Source organism: Homo sapiens, chromosome 8 (genome assembly GCF_000001405.40).
Source record: "Homo sapiens chromosome 8, GRCh38.p14 Primary Assembly".
In the NCBI taxonomy this organism is placed as follows: Eukaryota; Metazoa; Chordata; class Mammalia; order Primates; family Hominidae; genus Homo; species Homo sapiens.
Genome location: NC_000008.11, coordinates 27451685 through 27479313, shown reverse-complemented (window position 1 = coordinate 27479313; position 27629 = coordinate 27451685). Strand labels below are relative to the sequence as shown.

At 50.6% G+C, this 27629-nt stretch overlaps 2 protein-coding genes across 52 annotated transcripts in view, besides 2 other annotated features; one reads left to right on the top strand and one right to left on the bottom strand.

Moving 5' to 3' along the window:
• On the top strand, positions 53-19558 carry CHRNA2 (cholinergic receptor nicotinic alpha 2 subunit). Of its 9 annotated transcripts, none has more exons than NM_001347707.2 (8): positions 53-490; positions 4042-4101; positions 8120-8328; positions 9333-9508; positions 9935-9979; positions 11976-12085; positions 15457-16335; positions 17560-19558. In NM_001347707.2, the coding sequence occupies exons 7-8, from the start codon at positions 15466-15468 to the stop codon at positions 17683-17685; spliced, it is 996 nt and encodes a 331-aa protein (NP_001334636.1). In that variant the 5' UTR covers positions 53-490; positions 4042-4101; positions 8120-8328; positions 9333-9508; positions 9935-9979; positions 11976-12085; positions 15457-15465; the 3' UTR covers positions 17686-19558. The 9 variants fall into 9 exon arrangements, with proteins under 9 accessions (NP_001334636.1, XP_047277267.1, XP_047277268.1 ...); XM_047421311.1 differs by having other exon boundaries at positions 9333-9553; positions 15321-16335; XM_047421312.1 differs by having other exon boundaries at positions 3951-4101; positions 9333-9553; positions 15321-16335.
• Positions 15993-16921: an enhancer, noted in NCBI's record as "H3K4me1 hESC enhancer chr8:27319910-27320838 (GRCh37/hg19 assembly coordinates)". NCBI's record gives its function as "activates a minimal SCP1, AML or CMV promoter by ChIP-STARR-seq in naive H9 embryonic stem cells {active_cell/tissue: H9 hESC(naive)}" and the evidence as "EXISTENCE:reporter gene assay evidence [ECO:0000049][PMID:30033119]".
• Positions 19748-19991: a silencer, noted in NCBI's record as "fragment chr8:27316840-27317083 (GRCh37/hg19 assembly coordinates)". NCBI's record gives its function as "represses an EF-1alpha promoter that drives an FKBP-Casp9 reporter gene in an ReSE screen in HepG2 liver carcinoma cells {active_cell/tissue: HepG2}" and the evidence as "EXISTENCE:reporter gene assay evidence [ECO:0000049][PMID:32094911]".
• Positions 19923-27629, bottom strand: part of PTK2B (protein tyrosine kinase 2 beta) — a 148886-nt gene continuing 141179 nt past the window's right edge. For 41 of the 43 annotated variants that reach the window (XM_047421544.1, XM_047421545.1, XM_047421552.1 and 38 more), the window contains 4 exons: positions 26154-26200; positions 25023-25160; positions 24703-24783; positions 19923-21020 (listed from right to left, as the gene is read on the bottom strand). In XM_047421544.1, the coding sequence (XP_047277500.1) occupies positions 20805-21020; positions 24703-24783; positions 25023-25160; positions 26154-26200 (482 nt within the window). In that variant the 3' untranslated portion in view covers positions 19923-20804. The remainder of the gene's footprint in view (positions 21021-24702; positions 24784-25022; positions 25161-26153; positions 26201-27629) is intronic. The other 2 variants (NM_173174.3, NM_173176.3) reach the window with 1 other exon arrangement.

Genomic DNA, 27629 nt, shown 5'->3' with positions numbered 1-27629 from the left:
CCTCCTCCTTCCCCTCCAGAGAGGCTGTGTGTGTGTGTGTGTGTGTGTATGTGTGTGTGTGTGTGAGAGAGAGAGAGAACAGCGTGAGCCTGTGTGCTTGTGTGCTGAGCCCTCATCCCCTCCTGGGGCCAGGCTTGGGTTTCACCTGCAGAATCGCTTGTGCTGGGCTGCCTGGGCTGTCCTCAGTGGCACCTGCATGAAGCCGTTCTGGCTGCCAGAGCTGGACAGCCCCAGGAAAACCCACCTCTCTGCAGAGCTTGCCCAGCTGTCCCCGGGAAGCCAAATGCCTCTCATGTAAGTCTTCTGCTCGACGGGGTGTCTCCTAAACCCTCACTCTTCAGCCTCTGTTTGACCATGAAATGAAGTGACTGAGCTCTATTCTGTACCTGCCACTCTATTTCTGGGGTGACTTTTGTCAGCTGCCCAGAATCTCCAAGCCAGGCTGGTTCTCTGCATCCTTTCAATGACCTGTTTTCTTCTGTAACCACAGGTAAGAAAGGTACCCAAGGCTTATGTTGAGGGCGGCATGCATGTGGAGAGCTTGTGGATATGGGGTCAAAGAAATACTAGCAGTTTCTGGGTACTCAGGAGGGGGTTATGTCTGAATGCTGGATGTCACCTGCTCCTAGAAATATTTTAGTCTCCTGGTTGTCCCTGCTGGAGCTGTCCACAGCCAGGTGACGATGAACACCTCCTGGCTAGGATGGCTAGCCCAGTCTCAGGAATAGTGGCTTTGTTACACTGTATCTGCTCCTATGTCTTTACTACTGCTGTCCATTCTTTTGTTCATTTATTTACTCATTCTGTAAATTGTCTATGTCCTTTAAAAGGGCTAAAAGACAGCAATGCTATTTACTGACTTAGAAGGTAAATACCTTCCAAGGTTCTTCAAGTTCTTTACAGCTGGGCTTGTTCCAAGGCTGGCATTTGTGAAGTGGATTCCTCCATCAGCTGGTGTGGTTGTTCAGATGACCTTCAAGATCCCACCCAACCTTGAGTGTTAAACTTCTGTGATTGAGCAAAACAGATATAAAAGCTAGAATTACACTCTCTAGCCCCTAAGCACCTTGAGTGCATTTATTTGGAAGAAGAAATCATACTGGTTTCTCTAATGGAGGGGCTTCTTTGGGAGTGTAATGTTGCCAGTTGTGAAAAAGCTGAGACCTGTATGCTTGGGGAGGTTCTGGACAGCAGAAAGGAACCAGGTGGGATGGAAGCAGCCTTTTGGGAGAAGGAAATGTTAGTAAAAAGAGGAGAATGTGGACTGGTGGGTGAGAAGTTGAAAACAGAATTAGTAGAACCATGGACAGGGAAGTGAGCTCAAATCACCTTGACCTCCACGGAACCAGGATTCAGGCAGGCTAGAGATGCTGCAGTGAGTGTGGGGGTGGGGTGGGGGTGGCCTGGAACTGGTGTACGTGAGCAGCGACACAAGCCCAGTGGGGACACTGATGTCCGAGCACTTTACGTATGCAATCTCTTTTACATAGGCTTCTCTGTGTACCCCATTCACCCAGACCCACTTTACAATTAGGGACCTCATCCCACTCTCTCCCCTTCCCCAAATCTGCCAATCCAGCCACTTAGAGGGTCAAAGTGTGCAGCTCTTTTTTTTTTGACATCTTCCTAACCAGAGGTGGAAGTTCCCTCTAATTACTGTCAATCACCTGGAACAATTCCTCCTTTGGTTTCCAGTGACAAATTAAATGAAATGATATAGTGGGCTTATCACAGGGGATGCAGGTTTGAGGCATCTTGCTGGGAATACATCCTCTAGAGTCACTGCATCTTATTTGCACATTCTTCTGGGGGTTCCCGGGTGGCTCTCCTTGGATCTCTAAATGATGCAATGTTAGCATGCTTGGATTCCTATTCTCACTAATGGAGAAAAAAAAATCTCCTTTTTAAAAAATGCACTTGGTTAAAAGGTGAAACAGATGATAGCTTTGGAATTTGCAACTATGATATTGGTTGGCTGGATGAGAAAGTGAATCTGCACTAGAGGAACCTGCTAGAATCTGGGATCCAGGTGGGCCTAGCTTTGGGGTGAGGTGCCTGTCCCCTCTCCTCACTTGTCCTCAACAGACCTCAGTCCTGATGGTGGCTTAGCAATGACAGACACAGTGCTAGGGTCTACGGAACACAGGTGAGTACTGGCTGAATTGCTAATACGAAATCGCCCCCCTAGTTAACACCACGTTATAATTTATCGCATTCTAGTTTCGAAGCTAAAGATCTTAGCTTGAATCTCAGCTTTATCACTTTTTATCTATATGGCTTTGGTCAACTTCTCTGAACATCAGTTTTTTTTTTTTTTTACTTACATGAAAGGGATAATTATATCTCTTCCCCACACCCTCCTAGGGGTCACGTGAGGCCCAAATAGGTGAAAGCTGCAAAAGTACCTTGTAAACCTGAAAACAACATAAATGCACAGTGTTCTTAGGAAGACGTTTTAGGAATTAACATCAAGGGGGATTCTGAAATCCTCGTTCCCTGCCCCAAATCAGCCCTGTGTTCTAATATCTAGTAAAAACTTCACGCCTGTATGAAAGTAGACATAAGCAATGGAATTTCACAACTCTTTTTTATTTTAACTAGCAAATGAAACTTCTAGATGGCACTGAGCCACAGGTAAATGGGGAAGGGTGTGGGATCTTTGAGGATCCTAAATCCTCCAGGTAGAAAGGATGAAAGAGACAAGAGACAAGGAACCAGAAAGGCAGCTTTGTGATTGTCAGGTGTTTGAATGATTGCGGAGAGCAGAGAAAAAAACTTCACCTGCTCTGCAGTTTCCCCTGGGTATTAACGAGATTTAATCTCGGATAACAACACTAGGGTCTCTAAACTCAACTCAACACAACTCAAGCATCTCTCAGATGCTTATGCAGATTCAGACTCGAGGAAAAGCTTCCCAATGTGGAGAGTTGTAAAAAGCCTGGAAAGGATGCCTCAGGGAACTTGGGGCCTCCCTGGATGGCTTTGGAAGCAATGGGGCTAAATGAATAAAGTCATGCCCCACATTAGGGGTGGACGAGTGGATGAGACTCTAGCATTTTCCTTCCTTTTGGTTCTTCTCTACTCAAGCTCACTCAGTTCCCTGTTCCTAGTGCCTGGCACACTGTTGGCCCTGATGAAGAATGAGGTAGTACATTCTCTTACAGTCCAAGCATGAAACAACAACAACAACAAAATGAATGAGGTAGTGGAAAGATAAACAAAGAAAAGGATAAACAATCACACTATGAATGCAAATGTTTGATGCAGTGCTGCTCCCCAAATTAAGTGAGAAGCCTTAGTCTCCTTCCTCAGGCTCTTGGAGCCCTCCTCCTGCCCTGGGTACCTTTTGCAGGTAGCTCTGAACACCTGGAACCCACAAAGTAAGCTGGGGCTGTGCTTGGGGCTGGAGGGAAGAGGTGAATAAGATACAGTGGTCACCCTTAAGGAGTGACCTCACGACAGGAAGTTCCACTTTTCTCTGAAAGTCCCATTTGACCTTTCAGATCAATGTAGCGATCCCATTTCCTAGGCCTCAGCCCTAAGGTGATTCCAGATGAACACAGCTGACCTTTAAAAAGACTATTTTTGTGGTAAAATATACATAACATAATTTACCATAATAATGTAACCATTATTAACTGTATATAGTTCATCGTGTTAAGAACATTCACATTGTTGTGTAGACATCACCACTGTCCATCTGTAGATTTTTTTCATCATCCCAAATGAAACTCCGTACCCATTGAACAATAACTCCTCACTCCCCTCCCCCTAGCTCCTGGCACCCACCATTCTACTTTCTGTCTCTATGAATTTGACTATTCTAGGAACATCCTATAAAAGGAATCATAATGTCTTTGTCTTTTTGTAACTGGCTTATTTTACATAGCATAATGCCCTCAAGTTTCATCCACGTTGTAGCATGGGTCAGAATTTCTGTCCTTTTTAAGGACAAATAATATTCCACTGTATGGATAGACCACATTTGTTCAACCATTCATCTGTCGCTGGATACCGGAGTTGCTTCCACTTTTTACACAGCTGATTGATGAACTGCACTGCATTCTGATGGAAGAGTGGAGTCAAATCTACACAGTTTGGGTGAGCTCCTGCTGCTGTGAGATGAGGGGAGGGCTTGTAAAACACATCACAGGTATTGCTGCCTGCTTGAAAATTATTTTTATATTAAGTGACCGATACATGTTGATAGTGGGAAATTTGGAAAATGCAGAAAACTGTCAAAAAGAATAATAATCACCTCTAATTCCTGCGCCCAGAGATAACACAGGTGATCTATTTGTATGCAGAAAAGAGATTAAAAGAGAAAAGAGCAAGATGGTAAAGCTGTCTCTGGAAATCAGTTAGCTGTGCTGTTTCCTTTGCAATGGTCTGCTTTGGGGAAGTCCCCTGGGGACAAGTCCCTGCACCTTCGAGGGCCAGAGATCCCAGACCTTGCCACTGCGGTTCACCTGAGCCACAGAAGCTGCTGATGCCCAGGCTGGGGTGGGTGCTGTACAAACATTCTGCATAATTTGCAGGGCGATGTGAGTTTACACATTATATAAAGCTGCACTCCTGAACGAGAGCTCTTGACAGTTATGCTGCAGGGTTTGCTGTGTGAACAGAGCAGCTCCAGTGGGGCTGTGTGTACCAGGCCTATCTGTGGAGAAGCTTCCCACTGCCAGGACTCCCTGCTTCTCCCCCTGGAGGCACCATTCTGGGAGAGCTTTGGGATGCTCTCTCGGGCAGTTCATTCCATACATATACTGGGAACCGCCAACCTTTTGCACCTGCCAGCTGGGGATTTTCAGAGCCAGGAAGGAACCGGGAACCTCTAAGAGCTGGGACAAAGGGAGGAATCCCAGGGCAGGATGGGGTGTAGGGTGGCATGGAGGATAAGGGCAGCTCATGGACAGGGGCAATATTCTCCCAAGGGAACAGAAGAAAAATGTAATCCTCTATTTTCAACAAGTCTTTGAATTGAAACCTTCTGGGGAAATTGATGCAGGCAGGCCCTTTTCCCCTAAAACACTCTGGTGTCTGTGCTGTAGTCAGTATATGCCAGCAATTCCAACACATTGAAATTCACATCAAATCCTTCCCACATTCCTCTTCTCCTACTTGACCCAAACTGTCATTGTGCAATGCCACTGTGGGTCATGGGCCCTGACAACCATAAGAGCAACCTGTTCCCTGACCAGCCCTCTGCAGTTCCCCGGGGACTTTCATGGGCACAAGTGATCCCGTTTGCTCCCGTCACTCCTCCCACAGGGCAGAAAGTGTCCAATCTTTATCTTAAGACAAAATCCCAGGGGGATTGAGTGACCTTTCACAGATCATCACCAGCCAGTGGTGGGGCCAGGACTCAAAGCGACATTTGCCAGTGCCAGCCCTGCTCTCATCTCCTGCCAGGAGGTTAGGATGGGCCGGTGCAACCGACCCTGGGAGAGATGGAGGATTAGTGATGCTGGAAACACTGTTGAGAGTCTGTGTCAGAGTGGACGGGGGGGATGAGAATGACTAGATAGAAGTGGTTTCACAACTTCATGAATAATAATTCTGATTCTCTCATACCCGGTGGTTTACTTTTATTTTTATTTTCTTTTTGAGATGGGATCTTGCTTGTTGTCCAGGCTGGAGTGCAGTGGCAAGATCATAGCCCATTGCAGCCTTGACTTCCCCAGGCTCACACGACCCTCCCTTCTTGGCCTTCCCAGTAGCTGAGATCACAGGCACGCACCACTATGCCCAGCTAATTTTTGAATTTTTTGTAGAGACGGCGGGGGGGGTCTCACTATGTTGCCCAGGCTGGTTTTGAACTGCTGAGCTCAAACACTCCTTCCATCTTGGCCTCCAAAAGAGCTGGAATTACAGGCATGAGCTACTGTACCCAGCCCTTGGTTTATATTTTTAAAGCCACTTTTACCCTTATTCTTTCTTGAAAAGTTGTGGCTAAATACACATAACATAAAATTGATCGTTATTGGCATTTAGTACAATTCGAACAGTGTGCAGCCGTCACCACTATCTAGTTCCAGAACATTCTCACCCTTCCAAAGGAAATCCTGCACCCACTAGCTGTACCGAGAGCCTTTGTTATCTCCCTAGGCCACATACACGATGTGTCCCGGAACATGAGGCCATGCTCTTCTCTCCATAAGGGGGGCTGTTTCAAAAAATGCTAATTTGAATGTGTAAGCTTTTAAGGCAATAATGTTATTTTAGTGATATATATATATATTTTTTAAATCAAATACTCTATAAAATAATATTTTAAAATACTGCTTTTCCCAATTTTCTCAATTATGAAACATTCATTTCATATGAAACATTATATTTACCCCATCTTTGACATCTGTGTCCTTCTGGTCACTAGAACCCTTTGTGTATTGATTCTCCATGTTTGGCAAATATCACTGTCACCACAGTCAAGAGGGGTAGCTGCTGCTTCTTAATCCATGAGGTGTTTGTTTATTTTTTAATAATAACTTTTTTTGAGATAAATTCAAATATCATAAAATTCCCCCATTTAAAGTGTGCAATTCGGTGAATTTTAGTATATTCACACATCTGTGTAACATCACACCGTCTAGTTCCAGAGATCTCTTATCCCCTCTAAGGGAAACTCAGTGATCATTAAGCAGTCACTTCCCATCCCTCCTTCCCGCTGCCCCTGCAACCACTAATCTACGTTCTGTTTCTATAGATTTGCCTATTCTGCATATTCCATATCAGTAGGATCATACAATGTGTAGGAAAAACCACAAACTGTTTTTCTCTGCTCTCACCCCACAACAATCAACACGGAAGACTTCTGTGACCCCCCAAAGATGTGGGGATTTCTCCTCACCCGCAAGCAAGCTGTCAATTCTGCAGCAGAGATCAGCTGGGTGCCTTCTAATTCAATTCAGACACCATCCATCTGGAGACAGCTCAGATCCCACACGTCGAGGGCTCAGTCCCCAACACTGCCCCCCAATGTCAATGCCGATCACAAGTCCTAGGTTGTTTTACCTGTGCTTCTAACCCACTGGCTATAAATTGGGGTTCCCATGACCCCCTCCCTGGGTTCAACTAACTTGCTAGAGTGGCTCACAGAATTCAGGGAAACACTGGTTTACTAGCTTATAAGAGATAGTGTAAGATACAGGTGATGAGATGCATACGGCAAGGTTTGGGAAGGGGCACGGAGCTTCCATGCCCTCGCTGGGCTCATCACCCCTCAGGAACCTCCAATGTTCTGCTATTTAGAAGCTCTTCAAAACCTGTCCTTTCGGGGTTTTATGGAGGCCTCATTATGCAGCACGATTGATTAATCCAGTGGCCATTGGCGATCAACTTAACCTTTATCTCCTCTCCTGTCCCTGGAGGTTTGAGGGGTGGGGCTGAAAGCCCCAACCCTTTAAAGCCTGCCTTTGTCTTCCTGTGACCAGCCCCATCCTGCAGCTGCCTAGGGGCTGCCAGCCACCAGTCATGCAAAAAGATATCATTTTGGAGATTCCCAGTATCTTAGGAGTTGTATTCCAGGAGATAGGATTGAAGACCAAATATATTTTTTACAATATCACCTTCAGTATGTGGCTTTTTGCCACTGGCTTCTGGTACTTTGCACAATGCTTTCTAGGTTCCTCCATGCTGTAGCAAGCGTCAGCACCTCAGTCCTTTTTATGGTGGCATCATGTTCCGTTGTAAGGATTTACTGCCTTTTGTCCATCCATTCATCAGCTGATGGACATTTGTTTGGACAAAAGGCTGTTTCCACTCTTTGGATCTTGTGAATAGTACCCTGATCCTTTTATTGACCACTCTTTGCAGTATGATTATCCCCATTTTATAGATGACCACTGAGGCAAAGCAATGGGGACCTCAGTCCCATCCTGTGCCCTCCTTTGCCCAGTAGGTCAGGGCTGGTCTTAGGGCAGAGTCGCTGGCTGACTCTGGAGAAAGAGGAAGAGGCTGATTCCTCAATAAGCCAGGGAGAGCCCAGGAGCACTTAACTGCTGAGAGGCCTGCTGAGGGCCTTTTGCTCTCATTTCATGCCTGTGTGGAGCATGAGAAACAGAAATATGCCTATGTCAAGGATGCATGACCCTAAGAGCCCTTTCTTGGGCTTGCTCAGGTTCGGTGGTGAGAGGAAGCCTCGCAGAATCCAGCAGAATCCTCACAGAATCCAGCAGCAGCTCTGCTGGGGACATGGTCCATGGTGCAACCCACAGCAAAGCCCTGACCTGACCTCCTGATGCTCAGGAGAAGCCATGGGCCCCTCCTGTCCTGTGTTCCTGTCCTTCACAAAGCTCAGCCTGTGGTGGCTCCTTCTGACCCCAGCAGGTGAGTGTTTGTCACCTGTCATTGTAAGACTTCATCTCATGCCTGTGGGCTCACAAATTGTAGGAAGGAGTCTGCAGGTGGATGTGTTGCAACCGTCAAAGCTGCAGGGGACTTCAGAGGCCATCAGCCAGGTGGCTGTTTCCACTGGCAGAGGTGGAGGGGCAGTCACAGCTCTGACGTTAGCATCTGTGTCACCTTAAATGTCCCCAAGCTTCAATGTCCTCAGCTGCAAAACGCAAATAGTGTTGTGTACCTCCCAGGCCTATTGTGAGGATTAAACGCAAGTTTGTGACCAGAATCTGGGATACAGGAGGCACTCGGGACACAGCGCTTTCTGTCCCAGATGGTGCTGACACGTTTTTCTGGGATTTGGAGCTGTAGTTCTCGACTCGCTCGGACAGCAGAGCCCTGAAGGGGTGAAGCTGTTTGCTGAACACAGTGAAAACTGACATGAGCGATGCCATAGAAACATTTTGAAAAGTTTTGTTTATCTGATAGGAAGTGGCAAATGCCCATGGTTTAAGAAAAAATTGGGGAGGTTCCCAAAGCGGTCCATTTCCCTGTTAGCATTAATGGTTCATCGGACAAGTGGGTGGGAACGGGAGACTGCTTACCCTGGCCAGGCTTACTGCAATGCCAGAGCCCTTCTCCCTGCAGCCCCGCCACGTAGACCAGGCGTCTCTTCCACTTCCCTGTCCACCTGGCACTCCTCCATATGGGGCTGAATCTTGTCTCTAGATTCGTTTCCCCTCTTCCCTGCCTCTGCCCCTGCCCCTCGCCACCTGCAGCACTAGTTCTCACTCTTTTCTTCTCTAACATCACAAAACAGCTGACCTTTCCTGAGCTCCGACCCCGCAGCCTGCTCATGCTGTGCTCAGCTCTGATAGACATTATCATCTGCCATCTTCAACAATGTTTTGAGATAGGTTCTGGATAAGCATCTCCATTTTACAGATGAGCAAACTGAGGCTCAGTGAGGCTGAGTGGCTCTGATTTGATGGCAGGTGGAGAGGAAGCTAAGCGCCCACCTCCCAGGGCTCCTGGAGACCCACTCTCCTCTCCCAGTCCCACGGCATTGCCGCAGGGAGGCTCGCATACCGAGACTGAGGACCGGCTCTTCAAACACCTCTTCCGGGGCTACAACCGCTGGGCGCGCCCGGTGCCCAACACTTCAGACGTGGTGATTGTGCGCTTTGGACTGTCCATCGCTCAGCTCATCGATGTGGTGCGCCTGTCTTCCCACCGCTGGCCCGAGGAAGGAGATCCCAGACCACCCACCGCTTTCCCCCTGCTCCTTCCTCTACCCCAGCCCTGCCCTCACGCACAGCAGTGACTTGGGGTGGGGTTGGGGATGGCTCTTCCCAGGGCGGCTACGCTCTCCCCTCTCCCAGCTCTGGAGCTCCCTCCTAGGAGGGCATTGATTGGCAGCAGTGCCTGTGTGACCCTGGAGAATCTGAGTAAGGGTGGCAGGTTTCAGAGTGGGTGGCGGGCGGGCTGGGCTTGGGGTGTCCTATCAGAGGGTCTGAAAACAGCCCATCCCACTCCACCCTGTCTTCTGGGGCTGGGCCCACCCCTTTAATTGCTCCTCTGTCTCTCTCTGGGCCAGGATGAGAAGAACCAAATGATGACCACCAACGTCTGGCTAAAACAGGTGAGGGCCCCCCTCCTCCAGTCCAGGTGGCGGGTACCGGGAATCCATGGACCCCAGACCCCTCCAGGACTTCTTCGCTAGTGAAAGACCAAGGAACAGCAAGACCCTGAACTTAGTTTACCAAGCAGATGCCATGTGGGATGTTCCCAAAGCTGACTTTTTCCACAGGGCCTGTGCTCTTTGTGGCTAGACTGGAGTCTAGTGCCTGAGAACATAGCCTCAGGCACTAGAAAGCCAAGTGGTGCTTTCCTGGGAACAGGCATCTGTTCATCCCTGCTACTTCGGAATCCTCCCCAAAGCCCCACGGGGGGTTCATTCTGCCCATTTTACAGCTCAGGAGATCACGAAGCAGAGAGAAGCTGGGCTGGAAAAGGGGGCCCAGCTGTGCCTGACTCCGAGTCCCAGGCTCCTTCTATGGGAGAACGCTGAGTGCTTAATACCTATACTGCCACCCAAATAACCCCAAACTTAGAGGCTCACAGCAGCTCCCAGCTCACTGTATCTCATGGCTTTATGGCCAGGAGTTTGGGTGGTTTCTTCTGCTTCACATGGTGACCACTAGGGTTACTTTGTGATATTTGAGTGAGGGTTCATCTGGTCTGGAGGGTCTGAGACAGCTTAATTCACACATCTGTCCCTTAGCAGGGATGTCTGGAAGGCTCTGGAAGGTGCTGGAAGGTTCTGGAAGGCTGGACTCAGATGGGCCCTTCGCCCCCTTCAGGCATCCTCAGAGTCTCTCCAGCAGGGGAGTCAGACATCCTGCCTGGTGGTTCAGGGATTCCAGAGTGAGAGTCCCAAGAGACAGGGAGTAAAAGAAACTGGGCCAGCATTGATCTTGTTGTATACTACTGGTCCAGACAGTCATAGAGCCCAGTTAGACTCAGGAAAGGGCGCACAGATCCCGCTTAGGTCGGAGGCTTCCCTCCCTCTGATGCTGTAACCCAGGAGCTATCAGGGGGTCACTCATCTCATCTTTACAGATGTGACAGCTGAGGGCCAGAGGGAAGCAGGAACTTGGAAGCTACCCAGTCATGCGGTGTATGTGTGCAGGGAGGCAGGCCTAGAACCTGGGCTGCCACAGTTGTCCCCATGGGCTGGTCACCTGGGCTTCAGGGTTGGGGTGGCAGGGCAAGGAAGGAGTACTGGAGTTTGAGGCCAGTCAGCAATGCCTCTGATTAGCTTGTGATACTGGATGAGCTACGTAACCTCTCAGAGCCTCAGTTTCCTCATTTGCAAAATGAGGATAACACAACCTACTGCCACATGCCTGGGAGGATTAATGTACCACAATTTGGTGTGGGTGCCTCAAAATGTTGGTTGGACCTGAAAACTTGACAGATGGACTACGGAGATAATACGAACCTGATGGAGGCAGGGGGACTGATTTGGACCTGCGTCGGTGGAGGCAGGGGTGGGGGCCAGACATCCCGTCTCTGGTGGGACTCCTGTGGGGCACTTGAGAGTGCAGTTTGAAGGTCCCCGGGTAACACCCCTGCCTCACTGTATGCCTCTGGCTGGTTGATTTTCCTGTCTCTGGGTCCTCAGTTTGCTCATCTGCTAAATGGGGAGATACTTTCACCTGCTCTGCATTCCCCGCTTGGCTCTCCCGTGGAGGCTTTTCCTAGATGGAGAGCATAAAACAAACCATAAACTGTGATGCCCTAAAAATGAGAGATTTCACTAGAGATGAGTGAGGTGGCCCACCAAGGTCGTCCAGCCAGGGATTGGCAGAGCGAGGACTAGAGGCAGGACAAGGGTGAACTTCATGTGCCCGGGACCTTGACTACTAAAGTCCAGGCAAAGCGAGAAGGTTGGTTACTTGCTCAGAGCCCGTTCCCAGCACCGCAGCTCCCTCCACTATTCTGGGCTGGGTGGGGAGCCCTGGCTGCTCCAAGGGGGCTGCTTGGCCCAATTCTGGGCATCCCCGGGGTGTGCTAGCTTTGCCCTAGGCTGCTCCCTGGAAGCGAGGTTGACACAACTCCTTCCCCACACACAGGAGTGGAGCGACTACAAACTGCGCTGGAACCCCACTGATTTTGGCAACATCACATCTCTCAGGGTCCCTTCTGAGATGATCTGGATCCCCGACATTGTTCTCTACAACAAGTAGGAAGCCATTGGGGTCCTGGGGGGATGAGGGGAGGCCAACTTGCAGGGGCCGGGTCCATGGCCTTGGGAGGGGCCCCCCTGGTGTCAGCTTCCTCGCCTCCTTCTCGACTGCTGTGCTGAGCATGCCTCCCCTACCTCTCTCTCTATTCCTTCATTTCTTTCCTTTTGTTCTCACTCTACACCAAAATGAATGGCAGCTGAGCACCTTTTAGGTATCAGTGCCTGGCACTGTGCTAGAGGGACAGAGATTTGTCCATACTGAGTATTCTTTGAAAAATTTGGTGCAGGCTCAAAAAACAATACCTTGGGGTTGAAGTTGTGAGGGGTGGCAGTGTTGTTCAGACAGGCAGGCAGCATCGGGCCAGCACCTTCAAAGGGCATGTGCTCACTTGGTATGCAGTTTCCTTTTTCCCAATCATGTTGTTTTGTAGTTGTCTTCAAGACTAAAAAGGAGTAATCTTTGACCACAATGACAAGAAGTTAATAGAAGGCAGAGGAGTCTAAAGAGAGCCCCAGGGGACAAAAATAAATCAATAAAAAATATTTTGATGGAATAAATAGACATCTATAATTTCATTTCTGTGTTTGGTATCAGACAATTCTTCCCTTAGAAGTAAAGAAGTTAAAATGAAAAGATATTTGGTGTTATGTTCATCTAAAAAGGTTTTCTAAGGTGGGGCTGTAAGGAGCATGGCTTCTTTGAGTTATAAATAGGTATGAAAAAGGGTTCTGTGGTCAAGTAATTTTGGATAACATTGTATGTCACAACACCCACCCCCATCCCCACCCAAGTCCTTTGGAAAATGGCAGAGCACAATAGCATTTTAAAAAATGTTATTTGAAGTTCTGCAGCAAAGACACCCACCTAGCCCAGCATTTCCCAATTCATTTGATCCTACTTTGGAAATGCTATCTTTAAAGAAAGAAATAAAAGGAAAAACAACCCATTTCTGGATTTTGTGTCTTCAGATGGGTCAGATTTTTTTTTTTACACCGTCCAGTTCTGGTCAGAACTACGCCCTTGCACCTAAGCCATTTTGGGGAACACGTGTTCATCCTGGGTTCTTACACTGGCCGCTCTCACACAGCAGGTGCCTAGTGTTTGCAGCTGCTGCAGGACTCATGAACTCCCCACCCTGTCGTATCTCTGTGCCCCATAGCTGGCACCCAGGGTCCTTCTAGTTTCCACTTCCTGTACATGTGGCAGAGGTCAGGAGCAAAGTCCTACATCAAATATGACTTCGAGTTTGACAATTATCCAATAAGACTTCAGCCGGTGTTACCTGATTTATTACAAGAAATGTTGGTGGGGGACAAAATTCCAAGCCGAAGTCTTGCTTACATTTAGAGATGGATCCCCTCCACCCAGATACCCCACTCAAGGTTAAGAGGAAGGCATCTTAGAGTTTGCAAGGTTCCTTCCCCCAAGTGAGCACATGTTGCCATCTAGTGGTCATTGTTTGTGATAAACAAAATGCTTAAAAATTTTTTGTTTTTGCCTGGGCGCGGTGGCTCACACCTGTAATCCCAGTACTCTGGGAGGCCGAGGCCGGCGGATCAGGAGGTCAAGAGATTGAGACCATCCTGGCCAACATGGTGAAACCCTGTCTCTACTAAAAATACAAAAATTAGCCGGGTGTGGTGGTGGCACCTGTAGTCCCAGCTACTTGGGAGGCTGAGGCAGGAGAATTGCTTGAACCTGGGAGGCAGAGGTTGTAGTGAGCCGAGATCACACCCCTGCACTCCAGCCCGATAACAGAGTGAGATTCCGCCTCAAAAAAAAATTTTTTTTAACTTTTGTCTCAATGTATTTGTTACTCCCTTTCAAAGTTCCTATTTCCAGCCTGCCCATATCTCTACCATGGAACTACTCCATGGGGGAAAAAAGCCCCCTGTTCCCAAGTACTCTTCTGATTTCTTGGATTTTAGGATTGACTGTGGGAATTAGAAGGGGAGGGAGGATGGTTAAAGACTAGAGCAGGAGCCCACCGAGCCACCTCCTGGTGGAATCAGGGGCTGAGGCTTCCAGGAAGTGCTACCTGACTGGTCACCACTATTCCAGTGTCCCCAGACTCCTTGTGGGTCCTTGAATGCCTAGTCCCACGATACCCCTGATTCACACTCTCTGTCCCTGTGTGACCCTCTACTGGAAGGCTCTCTGCCCATTTCTCAGCCAAATCCTACCATCAGTCAAGGCCTTTTGCAAACGGCAGGCTTATCGATGACCCTGCTCACCTCCCAGAAGGGAGTTTTCCCCCAAAGGGTCTGGGGAGCACCCAGACTGCCCTCTTAGTGTTGCCAACTGCCTGCCTGATGTTGCAGTGGTTCCTGGAGACGTCTCATCTCCTCATGGCTCCTTAAAGGCAGGGACTTTTCTCATATTCCTCTTCTGCACAGCTCTGGTACAGGCCCTAGCGGATGAGGGGCTCAAAAACGCATGTTAAATGGATACATTCAAGGTAGTATCTTCACCCGCAAAGGTGTTAGGTCTCTTCTGAGCAAGGATGATCCCAGGTGGAAAGGGATCGCCCTCCTAAGGGACCGACTCATCATCTGCTAGGGAAGAAAAACAGACTCATAGATATCACTCTAATATATTAAATGATCAGCTCGCAGGAGGACAGCTTTGACCCCCTGTGATGTCATCCCCACCCAGCCAATCAGCAGCAAGCACCTGGCCACACCCACCCCTTCCCCAAAACTGCCTTTGAAAAACCCCTAACACGCACGAACTTTGGAAGAGATGCTTTGAATGCTATCTCCTTCTCCCCCGTGGCGTGGCTGGCCTTGTGTCTATTCAACTCTTTCCTTACTGCAAATAAAATAAAATATTAAATGAATAAAAATAGGCAATCAAGCAACATATACCCCATGATCACAAATATATGATTGTCATATACTGATAGATTATGTATATATAATCGTTTTACATTTTATATATATACATATATATCATCAAAATGTTATTAGTGGTTGTTTTTAGAATTCTTGGTACTTCCTTCTATTCCTCACAATTCCTCCTTTTGTATTTAAAAAGGTAGTAATTGACAAGACAGCTCAGTGGCTATAAATGTGCATGCCGGGGGAGACTTACACACTTGCATAAATAAACCCCGCCAGTGTGGCCGGGTCTGACTTGGTTCTTCGGGTTCCCCTGCTGCCAGCTCTCTGAGTAGCCTGGCTCAGGCAGGTGGGTGTGCAGGGGTCTCCCCAGCTCCTCTCCTCTTCTCAGTGCAGATGGGGAGTTTGCAGTGACCCACATGACCAAGGCCCACCTCTTCTCCACGGGCACTGTGCACTGGGTGCCCCCGGCCATCTACAAGAGCTCCTGCAGCATCGACGTCACCTTCTTCCCCTTCGACCAGCAGAACTGCAAGATGAAGTTTGGCTCCTGGACTTATGACAAGGCCAAGATCGACCTGGAGCAGATGGAGCAGACTGTGGACCTGAAGGACTACTGGGAGAGCGGCGAGTGGGCCATCGTCAATGCCACGGGCACCTACAACAGCAAGAAGTACGACTGCTGCGCCGAGATCTACCCCGACGTCACCTACGCCTTCGTCATCCGGCGGCTGCCGCTCTTCTACACCATCAACCTCATCATCCCCTGCCTGCTCATCTCCTGCCTCACTGTGCTGGTCTTCTACCTGCCCTCCGACTGCGGCGAGAAGATCACGCTGTGCATTTCGGTGCTGCTGTCACTCACCGTCTTCCTGCTGCTCATCACTGAGATCATCCCGTCCACCTCGCTGGTCATCCCGCTCATCGGCGAGTACCTGCTGTTCACCATGATCTTCGTCACCCTGTCCATCGTCATCACCGTCTTCGTGCTCAATGTGCACCACCGCTCCCCCAGCACCCACACCATGCCCCACTGGGTGCGGGGGGCCCTTCTGGGCTGTGTGCCCCGGTGGCTTCTGATGAACCGGCCCCCACCACCCGTGGAGCTCTGCCACCCCCTACGCCTGAAGCTCAGCCCCTCTTATCACTGGCTGGAGAGCAACGTGGATGCCGAGGAGAGGGAGGTGGTGGTGGAGGAGGAGGACAGATGGGCATGTGCAGGTCATGTGGCCCCCTCTGTGGGCACCCTCTGCAGCCACGGCCACCTGCACTCTGGGGCCTCAGGTCCCAAGGCTGAGGCTCTGCTGCAGGAGGGTGAGCTGCTGCTATCACCCCACATGCAGAAGGCACTGGAAGGTGTGCACTACATTGCCGACCACCTGCGGTCTGAGGATGCTGACTCTTCGGTGCGTTGGGGTTGGGAGAGGCGCCAGCCTGGGTGGCCCCACCAACTTAGCGGGGAACCACCTTACCGCAGAGTGTGAGCTTGGGCAGCCCAGGCCCCTCTCGTGAAGGCCCACTTTCCTCAGTCATGGTCCTTAGATGGAATAAATAGCAAGAGAGCACATGTAGCTGGCCGCTTTGAGGACGTTTATTGGCACGTGGCATGTTACACACCACGGAGTCAGGCATGAGCAGCTCAGCCTAACAGGGATCCTGAGAGCCGGAGAGGGAGGATCCCAGATGCTGAACCCCGTGCCTCCCTCACGCCGCCAGCTCCCACCATTGCCTTGGAGGTGGCGGCAGGCAGGGGGAGCATTTCAGGAGAGACCCAGAAAGTCAGCTGCTGCAGTGTCAGCCTTTGTCTTTTGTCTTGGATGGTCTCTTCCTCCGCCTCCTTGTTCATGGGCTCCTGAGGATCTTGCAAACTTCACTCTTCAACCATAAACCCTGCAGATTCTTGGTTGTGCCAGGTGGACTCCGCTCCCCCGCCCCTGCCATGGCATTGGCCCCACCCTGACCCCTGCCCCAGCTCCTGTCTGCCATTGAGCAGGCCGCTACTCTAGCACAAAATTCTACTAAGCCTAGGGAAGGATGAAAGGCCGGGAGGTTATTACTGAGTGGCCTTGATGAACAGACAAGAAAATTAATCATGATGTCATCCAGGAGCAGTGGAGAATCCAGGCTCCCTTGTCTGGGCTGTGAGCCCAAGTTCTACAAAGCCCCCGCCCCACCCCCAGCCTGCCTGGGGTCCCAACCACCTTCGCCTGTTTCCCTCTCCCCAGCTCCAGCAGGTGGGTGAGGAGGCAACCTGTGAGCAGCAAAGTCTGGTGTTGCATTGAAGTCACTGCAGGCCCCCTAGAAGGGCCCATGCCCCTGGGTGGTCGTGCCGCCTCCTTGCGTCCCTCTAGCCTCCTTTACCTATAGTCTAGGAGCATAATATGGACAGGTCTGGGCATGTGGAGGGGCTGGGATGGGAGGGGAATCATCAGTGGAGCTTACTGGAGCCTTGAAACAGCCCGTCCCTCCCTTCCACTCACCCCGCTCCCTGTGCTGACCTTTGCTCCCCAAGGTCTCTGTGGGGCAGTTGCTGCTGCCCCCAGTGGCCGCCTGTGCAGGGGCTGTGAATGGGGGGAACACATCCCTTTCCCAGGCCTGGCCCCTGTCACTGTGTGCTGTCTTCCCCACAGGTGAAGGAGGACTGGAAGTATGTTGCCATGGTCATCGACAGGATCTTCCTCTGGCTGTTTATCATCGTCTGCTTCCTGGGGACCATCGGCCTCTTTCTGCCTCCGTTCCTAGCTGGAATGATCTGACTGCACCTCCCTCGAGCTGGCTCCCAGGGCACCCCCGCTGACCATCTTTTGACCGTCTCTGCTACAGCTGCCTCTGGTGTCCCCTTTGGGATGAGCAGGTGCCTCTCCGCGGAGTCTGGACACTGACCCAGGGATTGCAGGCTTCCATCCAGCTTAACGTTATTGTACCAGGGCTGACAGCCTGCTGGGTGCAAAGCCCTGTTTTGGATACGGAGGAGCTGGGGAAGCTCTGCAGAAGGTCGCAATAGTGTGGTGACCAAGTGGGGCAGAGTAAGATTCTCCTGGAGGAGCAGTGCAGACCCTAAGTGACAGAAGGGTCAACCAGGGGGACAGTGGGGCCAGGGTGACGAGGAAGGGAATGCAGACCTCAAAGGAGGGGCCGTGGGGGCAAAGGGGAGGGTTCTTGGATGTGGAAGGGCTTTGAACAATGTTTAGATTTGGAGATGAGCCCAAAGTGCCAGGGAGAACAGCCAGGTGAGGTGGGAGGTTGGAGAGCCAGGTGAGGTCTCTGTAAGTCAGGCTGGGGTTGAAGTTTGGAGTCTGTCCGAGTTTGCAGGGTGCTGAGCTGTATGGTCCAGCAGGGGAGTAATAAGGGCTCTTCTGGAAGGGGAGGAAGCGGGAGGCAGGGCCTGCACCTGATGTGGAGGTACAGGGCAGATCTTCCCTACCGGGGAGGGATGGATGGTTGGATACAGGTGGCTGGGCTATTCCATCCATCTGGAAGCACATTTGAGCCTCCAGGCTTCTCCTTGACGTCATTCCTCTCCTTCCTTGCTGCAAAATGGCTCTGCACCAGCCGGCCCCCAGGAGGTCTGGCAGAGCTGAGAGCCATGGCCTGCAGGGGCTCCATATGTCCCTACGCGTGCAGCAGGCAAACAAGAAAGACCATCCTGAGCTGCTCCTGACCCACCTCAAACTCATCTCATTTGGCCTGTCCTCCCTCCCTTCACCCCTCCTTCCCTCCCCAGGAACCCTGTTCCCTGTGCCTGGCTCCATCAGGAGGAGGCCTCACTTGGGAGTTGAAGATCTTTGCCTTTAGTTCCTTTGATTCTGAACTTCTCAAAGGCAGGTACTCTGCCTGTTATTTTTCCCACCCCCAGCACCTAGCACAGCGCCGGGTGAGTGGGGTCAGCACTTAGGGCGTTTGTTCTGAGTGGTTGAGGGGAGCAAGCTGGATTGTTTGGGCCCCAGGACTGTTGTGTAGATGGCAAAGCTGTGGTCCCGTCCCTTATCAGCCTGCCTCGTCTCTCCCAGAGCCCCGAGGTGTGTTGACCTGCTCTGAACCCTTCAGAGCAGCCTGTGTGTGCACCTTGGAATGCAATGCACCACCCCACAGTCTGAGGCTGCACCCAGGATCCCAGGCCGAGCTGCTGCTCCTGGGATCGGGCAACAGACCTCCCCCCAACTCTGTCCAGACTGGAGGGTGGGACATTGGCAGCTAACAGATGTGGGCATCGGGTTCTCGGGACAGCATGGAGGCTCCAGGCAGGAAGCCGAGCAGGGCGAGCTTCCAGTTTCCTTTTGGTCCTAGGGGTCCCCTCCTTCCAAACCCCAAAATGTCTCTCCCTGACACTCTCAGGGGAAACCAGCCTGGCTGTGACGCCCTGGCCCAGGCCCTGCCATGCCTCACTTCTCTCCCACAACCCCCCTGCTCATGGCACATCTGGTCTCTGGCTCCTGTCTACTCGTGTGCATGCAGCCCCCAGCGCCCCCTCTCCTCCCACTTGCTCTCCGGAGGCCTCAGAGCTCTCGGGTCCAGGCTCCCAGACCCACTCTCCTGAGACAGTGATGTTCACTTCTGTTATCCATGTCTCCCATCCATCTTGCATGTGAATAAAGAGATTAAATAAAGCTGCACCTACTGCTGACTCAACTGTGCGACCCCCTCCTTGCCAGCTGCACTTCAACATCGCCAGTGTCACCCAAGCCCCTCCAGAGCCTGGGTGGTTTGGGGGCCCACTAAGAGAGAAATGACATGGCATTCCTCATGTGGCCATGGAGGGGACTGCTCTGGGTCCCTCCTGGAAAGTTGCCCCCCACTGTCCCTGCAAGGGCAAAAGGGCCAGCGCACACCCCTGACCCACTGCCGGATATCACCATTCAAACCTCCTTGGCTGATGACCAGCGCTGGATAGCCCTTGATCTCTGTCCAACATGAACACAATAGGTTTCTTCCAGGACTTGGCTCACAGTCCCCATTATCCCCCAAAGGGCAGGTCAAACAAACAAAACAAACCGCAAAGCAAATGGGACAATTTTAATTCAACCACAAGTCAAATAGAAAGAAGTTAAAAGAATGTTTATGCAAACACATGAGAAAAGAAGGGTGCAGATGAGAATGGGGGTTGGGGAGAGAAAGAGGAGGAGTAAGAAAAGAGGGAAAAGCAAGGGAAAGTAAAGGAAGAAAGAGAAAGAGGGGCAGGAAGAGAGCGGATTTGGCCCAAGGTCCTATCTTGGCCGCATCTCTCTGCTTCTTCCCCCTGATGCTTGGTTTGTTGACAACACAGCATCCTGTGCCTGGACTCCCAATTAGCTTGTTCCTGGACTGTGCCCCAGGTCCTCCCTCAGGAGGGCACATGCTGTCAGTCCAGACCAAACTCACATTAAATAAATTTCAATATACACTGTACAAGAATGCCAGGCCCATCCCTCATCTCACTGGCTGCCTGACCCCCAAAACAAAGCTCCTCCCCAGCTTCTCTGTGCATCAAGGGACATCTGAGGGCCGAAGAGGAAGGGAAAGGAATAGCTTGGTTCCCAAATCGGCCTGCCATGTCCATATATAAAGCTAGGGGCACCATGTGACACCTCCCCACCCCCAGGAGCCCCCTGCATGGACCAGGCTGGCTTAGGGAGCAGTGGCCAGGCAGCAGCAGTCCCCCTCTGAGCCATCTTTGTCACCGTCACCCTGTGTCCATAGCCCAGAGTCCCCTCTGTCCAGCTGCAGCCTGAGCAGTACAGCCAGGGGTAGGGGTGGGGAGAGGGCGTCGTGCAAAGTGGCAAGGGAAGGTGACTCCCCTTGGCCTTCCCCCTGGAAGACCCACATGACCAACAGCAAGGCAGGGGAGGTACATGGCAGGCAGGGGCGGAAGACGCAGGCAGGTGGCCCCCACCCTCCGTCACTCTGCAGGTGGGTGGGCCAGATTGGCCAGAACCTTGGCCTGGTCCACAGCGTCGAGCAGGTTCTTGGCGTCCACAGCCAGGGTGTGTGAAGCCGTCAGCATCTGCCTCTTGCACTCCTCACTTAGGGAGGTCACGGCGTTCTGCTGTGCCAGCCGCATCTTGTTGATGAGCTCTGCCAGGTCTTTGTTGAGCAGTTTCTGGGTGCCCTCGATCTGTAGGAAGATCACACAGGACAGGTTGAGAGGCCACAAAGTCTGTGCTTGGAGGATAGGGAAGCCACAGAGGTGTCCACCTGCATGCTGGCCAAAGCAATCAGAAGTTCCCTGGAAGCAAATCAGACCTAGGAGAGGGCTGAATGCAACACCCCGTGCAGGGTCGAGTCAGGTCTGCAAGGACTGACATCACAGACATCTCAGAACCCAGCCAACCCTGTGTAAGCCCAGCCTGACCGTCCCTTCATGGAAACATCCCCTCATACCTCATACTTTCTAAAATGCGAATCTGATCTTTTTTTTTTTTTTTTTTTTTTTGAGACTGAGTTTTGTTCCTGTTGCCCAGGATGGAGTGCAGTGGTGCAATTTCAACTCACTGCAATGCCCGCCTCCTGGGTTCAAACAATTCTTCTGCCTCAGCCTCCCGAGTAGCTGGGATTACAGGCACCTGCAATTACGCCTGGCTAATTTTTGTATTTTTAGTAGAGATGGGGTTTCACCATGTTGGCCAGGCTGGTCTTGAACTCCTGACCTCAGGTGATCCTCCGACCTTGGCCTCCCATAGTGCTGAGATTATAGGCGTGAGCCACCACACCCAGCCATCCACTGAAGGCTTGAACCCCTCAAAATCATCCATGAGGGTTGGAATCAACTTCTTCCAAATGGTTAATGATATTTTGACCTCTTCCCATGAATCACAAATGTTCCTAATATTATCTAGAATGGTAAATCCTTTCCAAAATATTTTCAGTGAACTTTGGCCAGATCCATAAGAGAAATCATTATCTATGGCAGCTATGGCCTTAGAAATGTATTTCTTAAATAATAGAAGTTGAAAGTAGAAATTACTCCTTGATCCATGGGCTGCAGAATGGATGCAGTGAAAACATTAATCTCCTTCTATATCTCCATCTGAGCTCTTGAGTAGATGCACTGTCAATGAGTAGTAATATTTGAAGATAGTCTTTTTTTTCTGAGTAGTAAACCTCAATAGTAGATTTAGCCTAATTCCTAAGGGCCCTAAAATTTTCAGAATGGCCAATCAGCACTGGCTTCAACTGGCATTAGCCCCTAACAAGAGAGTCAGCCTGTCCTTTGAAGCTTTGAAGACAGGCATTGACTTCTCCTCTAGCTATGAAAGTCCTAGATGGCATCTGCTTCCAATAGAAAGTTGTTCATCTACATTGAAAAATCTGTGGTTTAGTGGAGCCATCTTCATCAATGATCTTAGCTGGGTCTTCTAGAGAACTTGCTGCAGCTTCTCCATCAGCACTTGCTCCTTCACCTTCAGTTTTATGTTACAGAGGTGATTTCTTTCCTTGAGCCTCATGAACCAACCTCTGCTAGCTTCCAACTTTTCTTCTGCAACTTCCTGAATCTCTCTCAGCCTTCATAGAATTGAAGGCCTTGCTCTGGATTAGGCTTTGGCATAAGGGGATGTTGTGGCTGGCTTGATCTTCTATCCAGACCACTCCAACTTTCTCCATATCAGCAATAAGGCTGTTTCACTTTCTTATCATTCATGTGTTCACTGGAGCAGCTAACTTTTCCTTTGCATTCACAACGTGGCTAACTGGCAGAAGAGGCCTATCTTTTGGCCTGTCTTGGTTTTCAACATGCCTTCCTCACTCAGCTTAATCATTTCTAGCTTTTGATTTAAAGTGAGAGGTGGGTGACCCTTCCTTTTACTTGAACATGCAGAGACCGCTGTAGGGTTCTTAATTGGCCTAATTTCAATATTGTTGTGTCCCAGGGAAAAGGGAGGCCCAAGGAGAGGATAGGGAAATGCATGGTCGGAGGAGCAGTCAGAACACACACAACATTTATTGATAAGTCTTATGTGGGCACAGTTTATGATGGCCCCTCAAAACGATTACAATACTAACATCGCTGATCACCAATCACCAATCACCAACCATAGCCGTTATAATCATAATGAAAAAGTTTGAAATATTGTGAGAATTACCAAAATGTGACAGAGACACAAAGTGAGCACGTGCTGTTAGAAAAATGGCACCAATAGGCTTGCTCATTGTAGGGTTGCCACAAATGTTCAATTTGTAAAAAATGAAATATCTGGGAAGTGCAATTAAAGCAAAGTGCAATAAAATGAGGTGTGCCTGTTCATAGCTGGTGCTCAAGAGGTATTTACAAATGAAGTAGATGAATGAATGAATGAATGAATGGGTTGGCATCCCAAGGGTAAGGAGCTCTTAAATGAGACAAGACAGCCCCACAGCCCCACCTAGGGCTCCTGTATGTGTTGTCACTGCCCCTGAGAGAGAGGCCAGAAATTGGCCCAAACTCTCCTGCCTTCTCCTTCCTTGGGTGGCCACTGACAGTGGGGACAGTGGTGGGATGTGGTAGTCATCTGTGCCGCAGGGCTGGCTGCTGGGAGGCAGTGGATCAAAGGGCTCCAGACGGAGAACCAACAAACGTCCCATGGCACTGTATTGTGTGCCTATGGCTTTGGCAACAAATTACCAGAAATTTAGTGGCGCAAAACAACACAGATTTATTGTCTTATAGTTCTGAAGGGCAAAAGTCTGAAGTGGGTCCAACTGGGCTAAAGTCAAGGTGGCCACAGGGCTTGTTCTCCCTGGAGGCTACAGAGGAGACTTGCCTTCTCCAGCTCTGACAGGCTGCTGCCTTCCTTGGCCTGCGGCCTCCTTCATCCATCACATCTGTCACCCTGACCATGTGTCTCTTGTCACACACTGCCTCCCTCTTGTTTTATTTATTATTTTGAGATAGGGTGTTGCTGTTACCCAGGCTGGAGTGCAGTGGTATGACCATGGCTCACTGCAGCCTCCACCTCCCAGGCTCAGTCTATCCTCTCACCTCAGCCTTCTGAGCAGCTGGGACTATAGGCACAGGCCACCACGCCCAGCTAATTTTTGTATGGTTTTGCCATGTTGACCAGGCTGGTCTCAAACTCCTGAGCTCAAGCAATTCACCTGCCTTGGCCTCCCAAATGGTTGGCATTATAGATGTGAGTTTCCACACCCAGCCAGTGTTGTCACAGAGATCCCTGTAAGATCAGGACCCCTGATCCTGGGATCCCTGTGACAACACTGGGCTCAGTCTGATAACTGAGAACAATCTCCCAATCTCAAGGTCCTTAACTTTATCACATTTGCAAAGTCTCTTTTGCCATGGAAGGTGGCATGTTTTCAGGTGCCAGGGCTTAGGATGTGGACATCTTTGGGGGCCTTTACTCTCCCTACTACAGGAACCATCTCATGGAGCACCAAGACTCTTGTTTTGATTTTCAGTGATTGTTTCTTATTTAAATAAAGAAAATCAGATTAAATAAAGAAACCTTAAGTGATATTTCTATGACACATCCATGTTAATCTTAACACAGACGGCAAGGCAACCAGATAAACAATAATAGGAGGGGGGAAAGGAAGGTGTGTCCCCTTTAGCATAAACTCAGAAAGAATTCACTGCCGTCATCTGGAGACCTGAACTAGGAAATCCCTGCTAGCCTCTGGCCAGGTCCCTGGGTGCCCTCTCAGCCCTCTGGTGGTAGCTGATGGATAAGCCACATAGAACCCACCTGGTGGGGACTCAGTGGACAGACATGAGGTTGCCCAGGCAGCCATCATGAGCCTCTAATGAGGCTCATAAGCAGGAGCAAAGCAACAGCCTATGGTGCTGTCTGGAATGGGACGCTCACCTCTGTCCGTGAAGATGACGGCAAGGAAGGCAGGAGATCATCCACGCTCCCGATGAGCTTCCGCAGGGTCAGCCCCACATTCTGGGGGGAGAAAGGGGCAGGATGGCCGCCACTCCTAGCTATTGGAGAGAGCCAGGTTTCCCCTGGGAAGAGCTCTCCTGGGGTGGTGCTTGTCCCCCGCGAGTGGCCTGGGACTCAATTCCCCTGGCCCAGCTTGCTCTAAGAGGATCTGCTGGGCCAGCCAACAGGAAGCGCAGTCCCCTTTCCTTCCAGGGCGGACTTGAGCCGCCTCCACCTCCCCAACCCAGCCCTGCTCTCACCTTCACCACCACCACGTAGCCCTCGGGGGGCAGCTGACAGAGCTCATTCTTGAGCTCCAGCACGGCCCGCACCAGCTCCATGACATTGAGGTACACCAGGTCATCAGTCCGGTCCAGGTTAGCTGTGGGCTGGATGGACTGAGGGGAAGACGCAGGTGGCCAGTGAGTTGGGGAGAGCCAGGGGCACGGAATGATTCTTTCCTGGGCAGGCACCACTGTGGCCAACTCCACCACCAGCCCGATTGGAAAGGACTCTTCTTTAGAATAATTGTGCCCTGTCCCGGGGTGCATTGCCTCTGTCCACTTCTGGGGCAGTTTCCAGCCAGGGAGCCTTAACGGAATACTAGTGGTAGCCTCACAACAGACTATTAGAACCACCACCTGGACATAGGGTGCAGGCAGGCTTTTTTTCTTTGAAGAGACAGGATCTCATTCTGTTGCCCAGGCTGGAGTATAATGGCACAGTCATAGCTCACTAATGCCTTGACCTCCTGGGCTCAAGCAATCCTCCTGCCTCAGTCTCCTGAGTAGCAGGCGTGCCACCAAGTCCAGCTAATCTTTTTTAAAAAAATTTAGTAAAGATGGGTTCTTGCTATATTGCCCAGGCTGGTCTTGAATTCCTGGGCTCAAGCGATCCTCCTGCTGTGGCCTCCCAGAGTGCTGGGATTACAGGTGTGAGCCACGGCACCTGGCCTATGCAGAGAGTTTCAAAGCTCCTTGGGTGATTTTAATGGACAGCCAAGGCTGAGAACCACTGTTCCAGAGGAAAGAAAGCCAGCACCACCCCAGATGGCTGTAAGGACAATGGATGCTGGAAACCAAGTGAGGAGGCTCAGAAGAGGGAAGCAGCCCACACCACTTTCCCTGAAGCTGGACCAGGGAGCTCTACTCCAAGTCTGGGAGGGGGATGGAGAGTGGGAGATTGGTTCTTCCTCTTGCTTTTTCATGAATTAGCTGTGTGGCCTTAGGCAAGGCACCCCGCCACCCGCCCCCTAACCCCGGGCTTCATCTGTATCATGAGGACACTGAACTGGATTCTATCTGAGAACTGTGAATCTTTCATAGACCATGGTCTTCAGTTTTGTGCAACCCCCACTCTCATTTATCAGTTTCAGCAGAGCCAACACATACCTGTGCGCCCAGCCTCGGGGGCTTCTGTGGGGGCCCTGTGAACTCCACTGCAATAAAAAGAACAGCAAGTGGGGGGCAGTTCTCAGCACTCCAACCCTTCCCTTCGTACCTGCTGACATCAAATGAGCCCCTTCCCCTCTACCACCAGGAGACTTCAGGGAAATTAACTCTGAATCCAGGAAGCGGGCAGGGGAAGGAACCTCCTGGTCTCCCTGGTTTTGCAGTAGTCAGGGACAGCACTGTTGTCCCTTTTATAGGAAGAAAAAGGCAAAGTCCCAGCAAGATGGGGGGATTGCAGTGGTGCCCCAGCTCTGGCTTGGGCTTCCTGCCTGATGGACACCAGGCCTAAGGAACAGTACTGGGTGATCTGAAAGGAAGAAACCTCTCTCTCTGATGCCAGCAGGTGTCTGTGGTGCCCCTGACCTGGGGAGACAGCAGCTCATGGGGTAAATTTGTGTGGATTCTCTAATGGTTTTCCCAGAGTGTTTGGGGCTGAAGGAAGCAAAATTGCAGCAGAAACATGCTATTCACTCCCACTTTGAAGAGCAAAGACACATAAAAGTCCACTCAGCACACTTTGTTCTTTTTTTTTTTTTTTTTTGAGGCAGGGCTTGCACCGAGGCTGGAGCACAGTGGCGTGATCACAGCTCACTGTAGCCTCACCTTCTAGGCTCAGGCAATCCTCCTGCCTCGGCCTCCTGAGCCGCTGGGCTTGCAGGCATGCATCACCAGGCCTAATTTTCTTAATCTTTTGTAGAGATGGGGTCTTGCTATGTTGCCCAAGCCAGTCTCAAACTCCTGGGATCAAGTGACCCTCCCACCTCAGCCTCCCAAAGTGCTGGGATTACAGGTGTGAGCCACCACACCTGGCCTTCTATTCTCACCTCTGCCGCCAAAGAGCTCTGTGACCACTCTAGGCAGCTCACATTCCGAGCCTTAATTTTCATTTGTAAGATAAGAGGGTGAGCTCAGAAGGGACCCTAAAGTCAGAAGGCTTGGGTTCAAATCTGAACTTTGCCAATTATTAGCTGTGTGAATTTGGACAAGTTACCTAATCACCCTGTGCCTCAGAAGATAATAAATGGTCCCAGGCCCATGCCTGACTTGTGTCCAGTTCTCTGTGATGGCTGTCATCATCCTCCTCCTCAATGCCACCCCTCCAGGCCCCGGGCTTACTGCTGGCTCTTCCCTCCCTGCCTGCAACAGGGTCTTCTGGAGAGAGCCTGAGGGCTCAGCTGCCCCTCTCACTTTCTCTCCTCTGTCCCTCAGGCCTACAGAAGATGAATCTGAACTGGGACAGGCAGGTGGCACTGCTTAACTTTTCCCACGGGAGCTTCCAACAGAGCAGGAAATGAGGAAGAGAGAATTTCCAGCTCCTCCAAACTAATGCAGGAGGGGGATGATCTGAGGAGGGGCCTAAGGATGTGGCCACTGAGAGAGAGAAGGGCAGGGTGCTAGGCAGGGAGAGGAATGGGG

Excerpts from the sequence above, each read along its gene's own strand:
- CHRNA2 (XM_047421313.1), top strand. The coding sequence starts at position 8,256 with ATGGGCCCCTCCTGTCCTGTGTTCCTGTCCTTCACAAAGCTCAGCCTG. Across the intron at positions 9,554-9,934 it reads TCGCTCAGCTCATCGATGTG|GATGAGAAGAACCAAATGAT; the intron begins GTGCGCCTGTCT and ends TCTCTGGGCCAG. Across the intron at positions 9,980-11,975 it reads CCAACGTCTGGCTAAAACAG|GAGTGGAGCGACTACAAACT; the intron begins GTGAGGGCCCCC and ends CCCCACACACAG.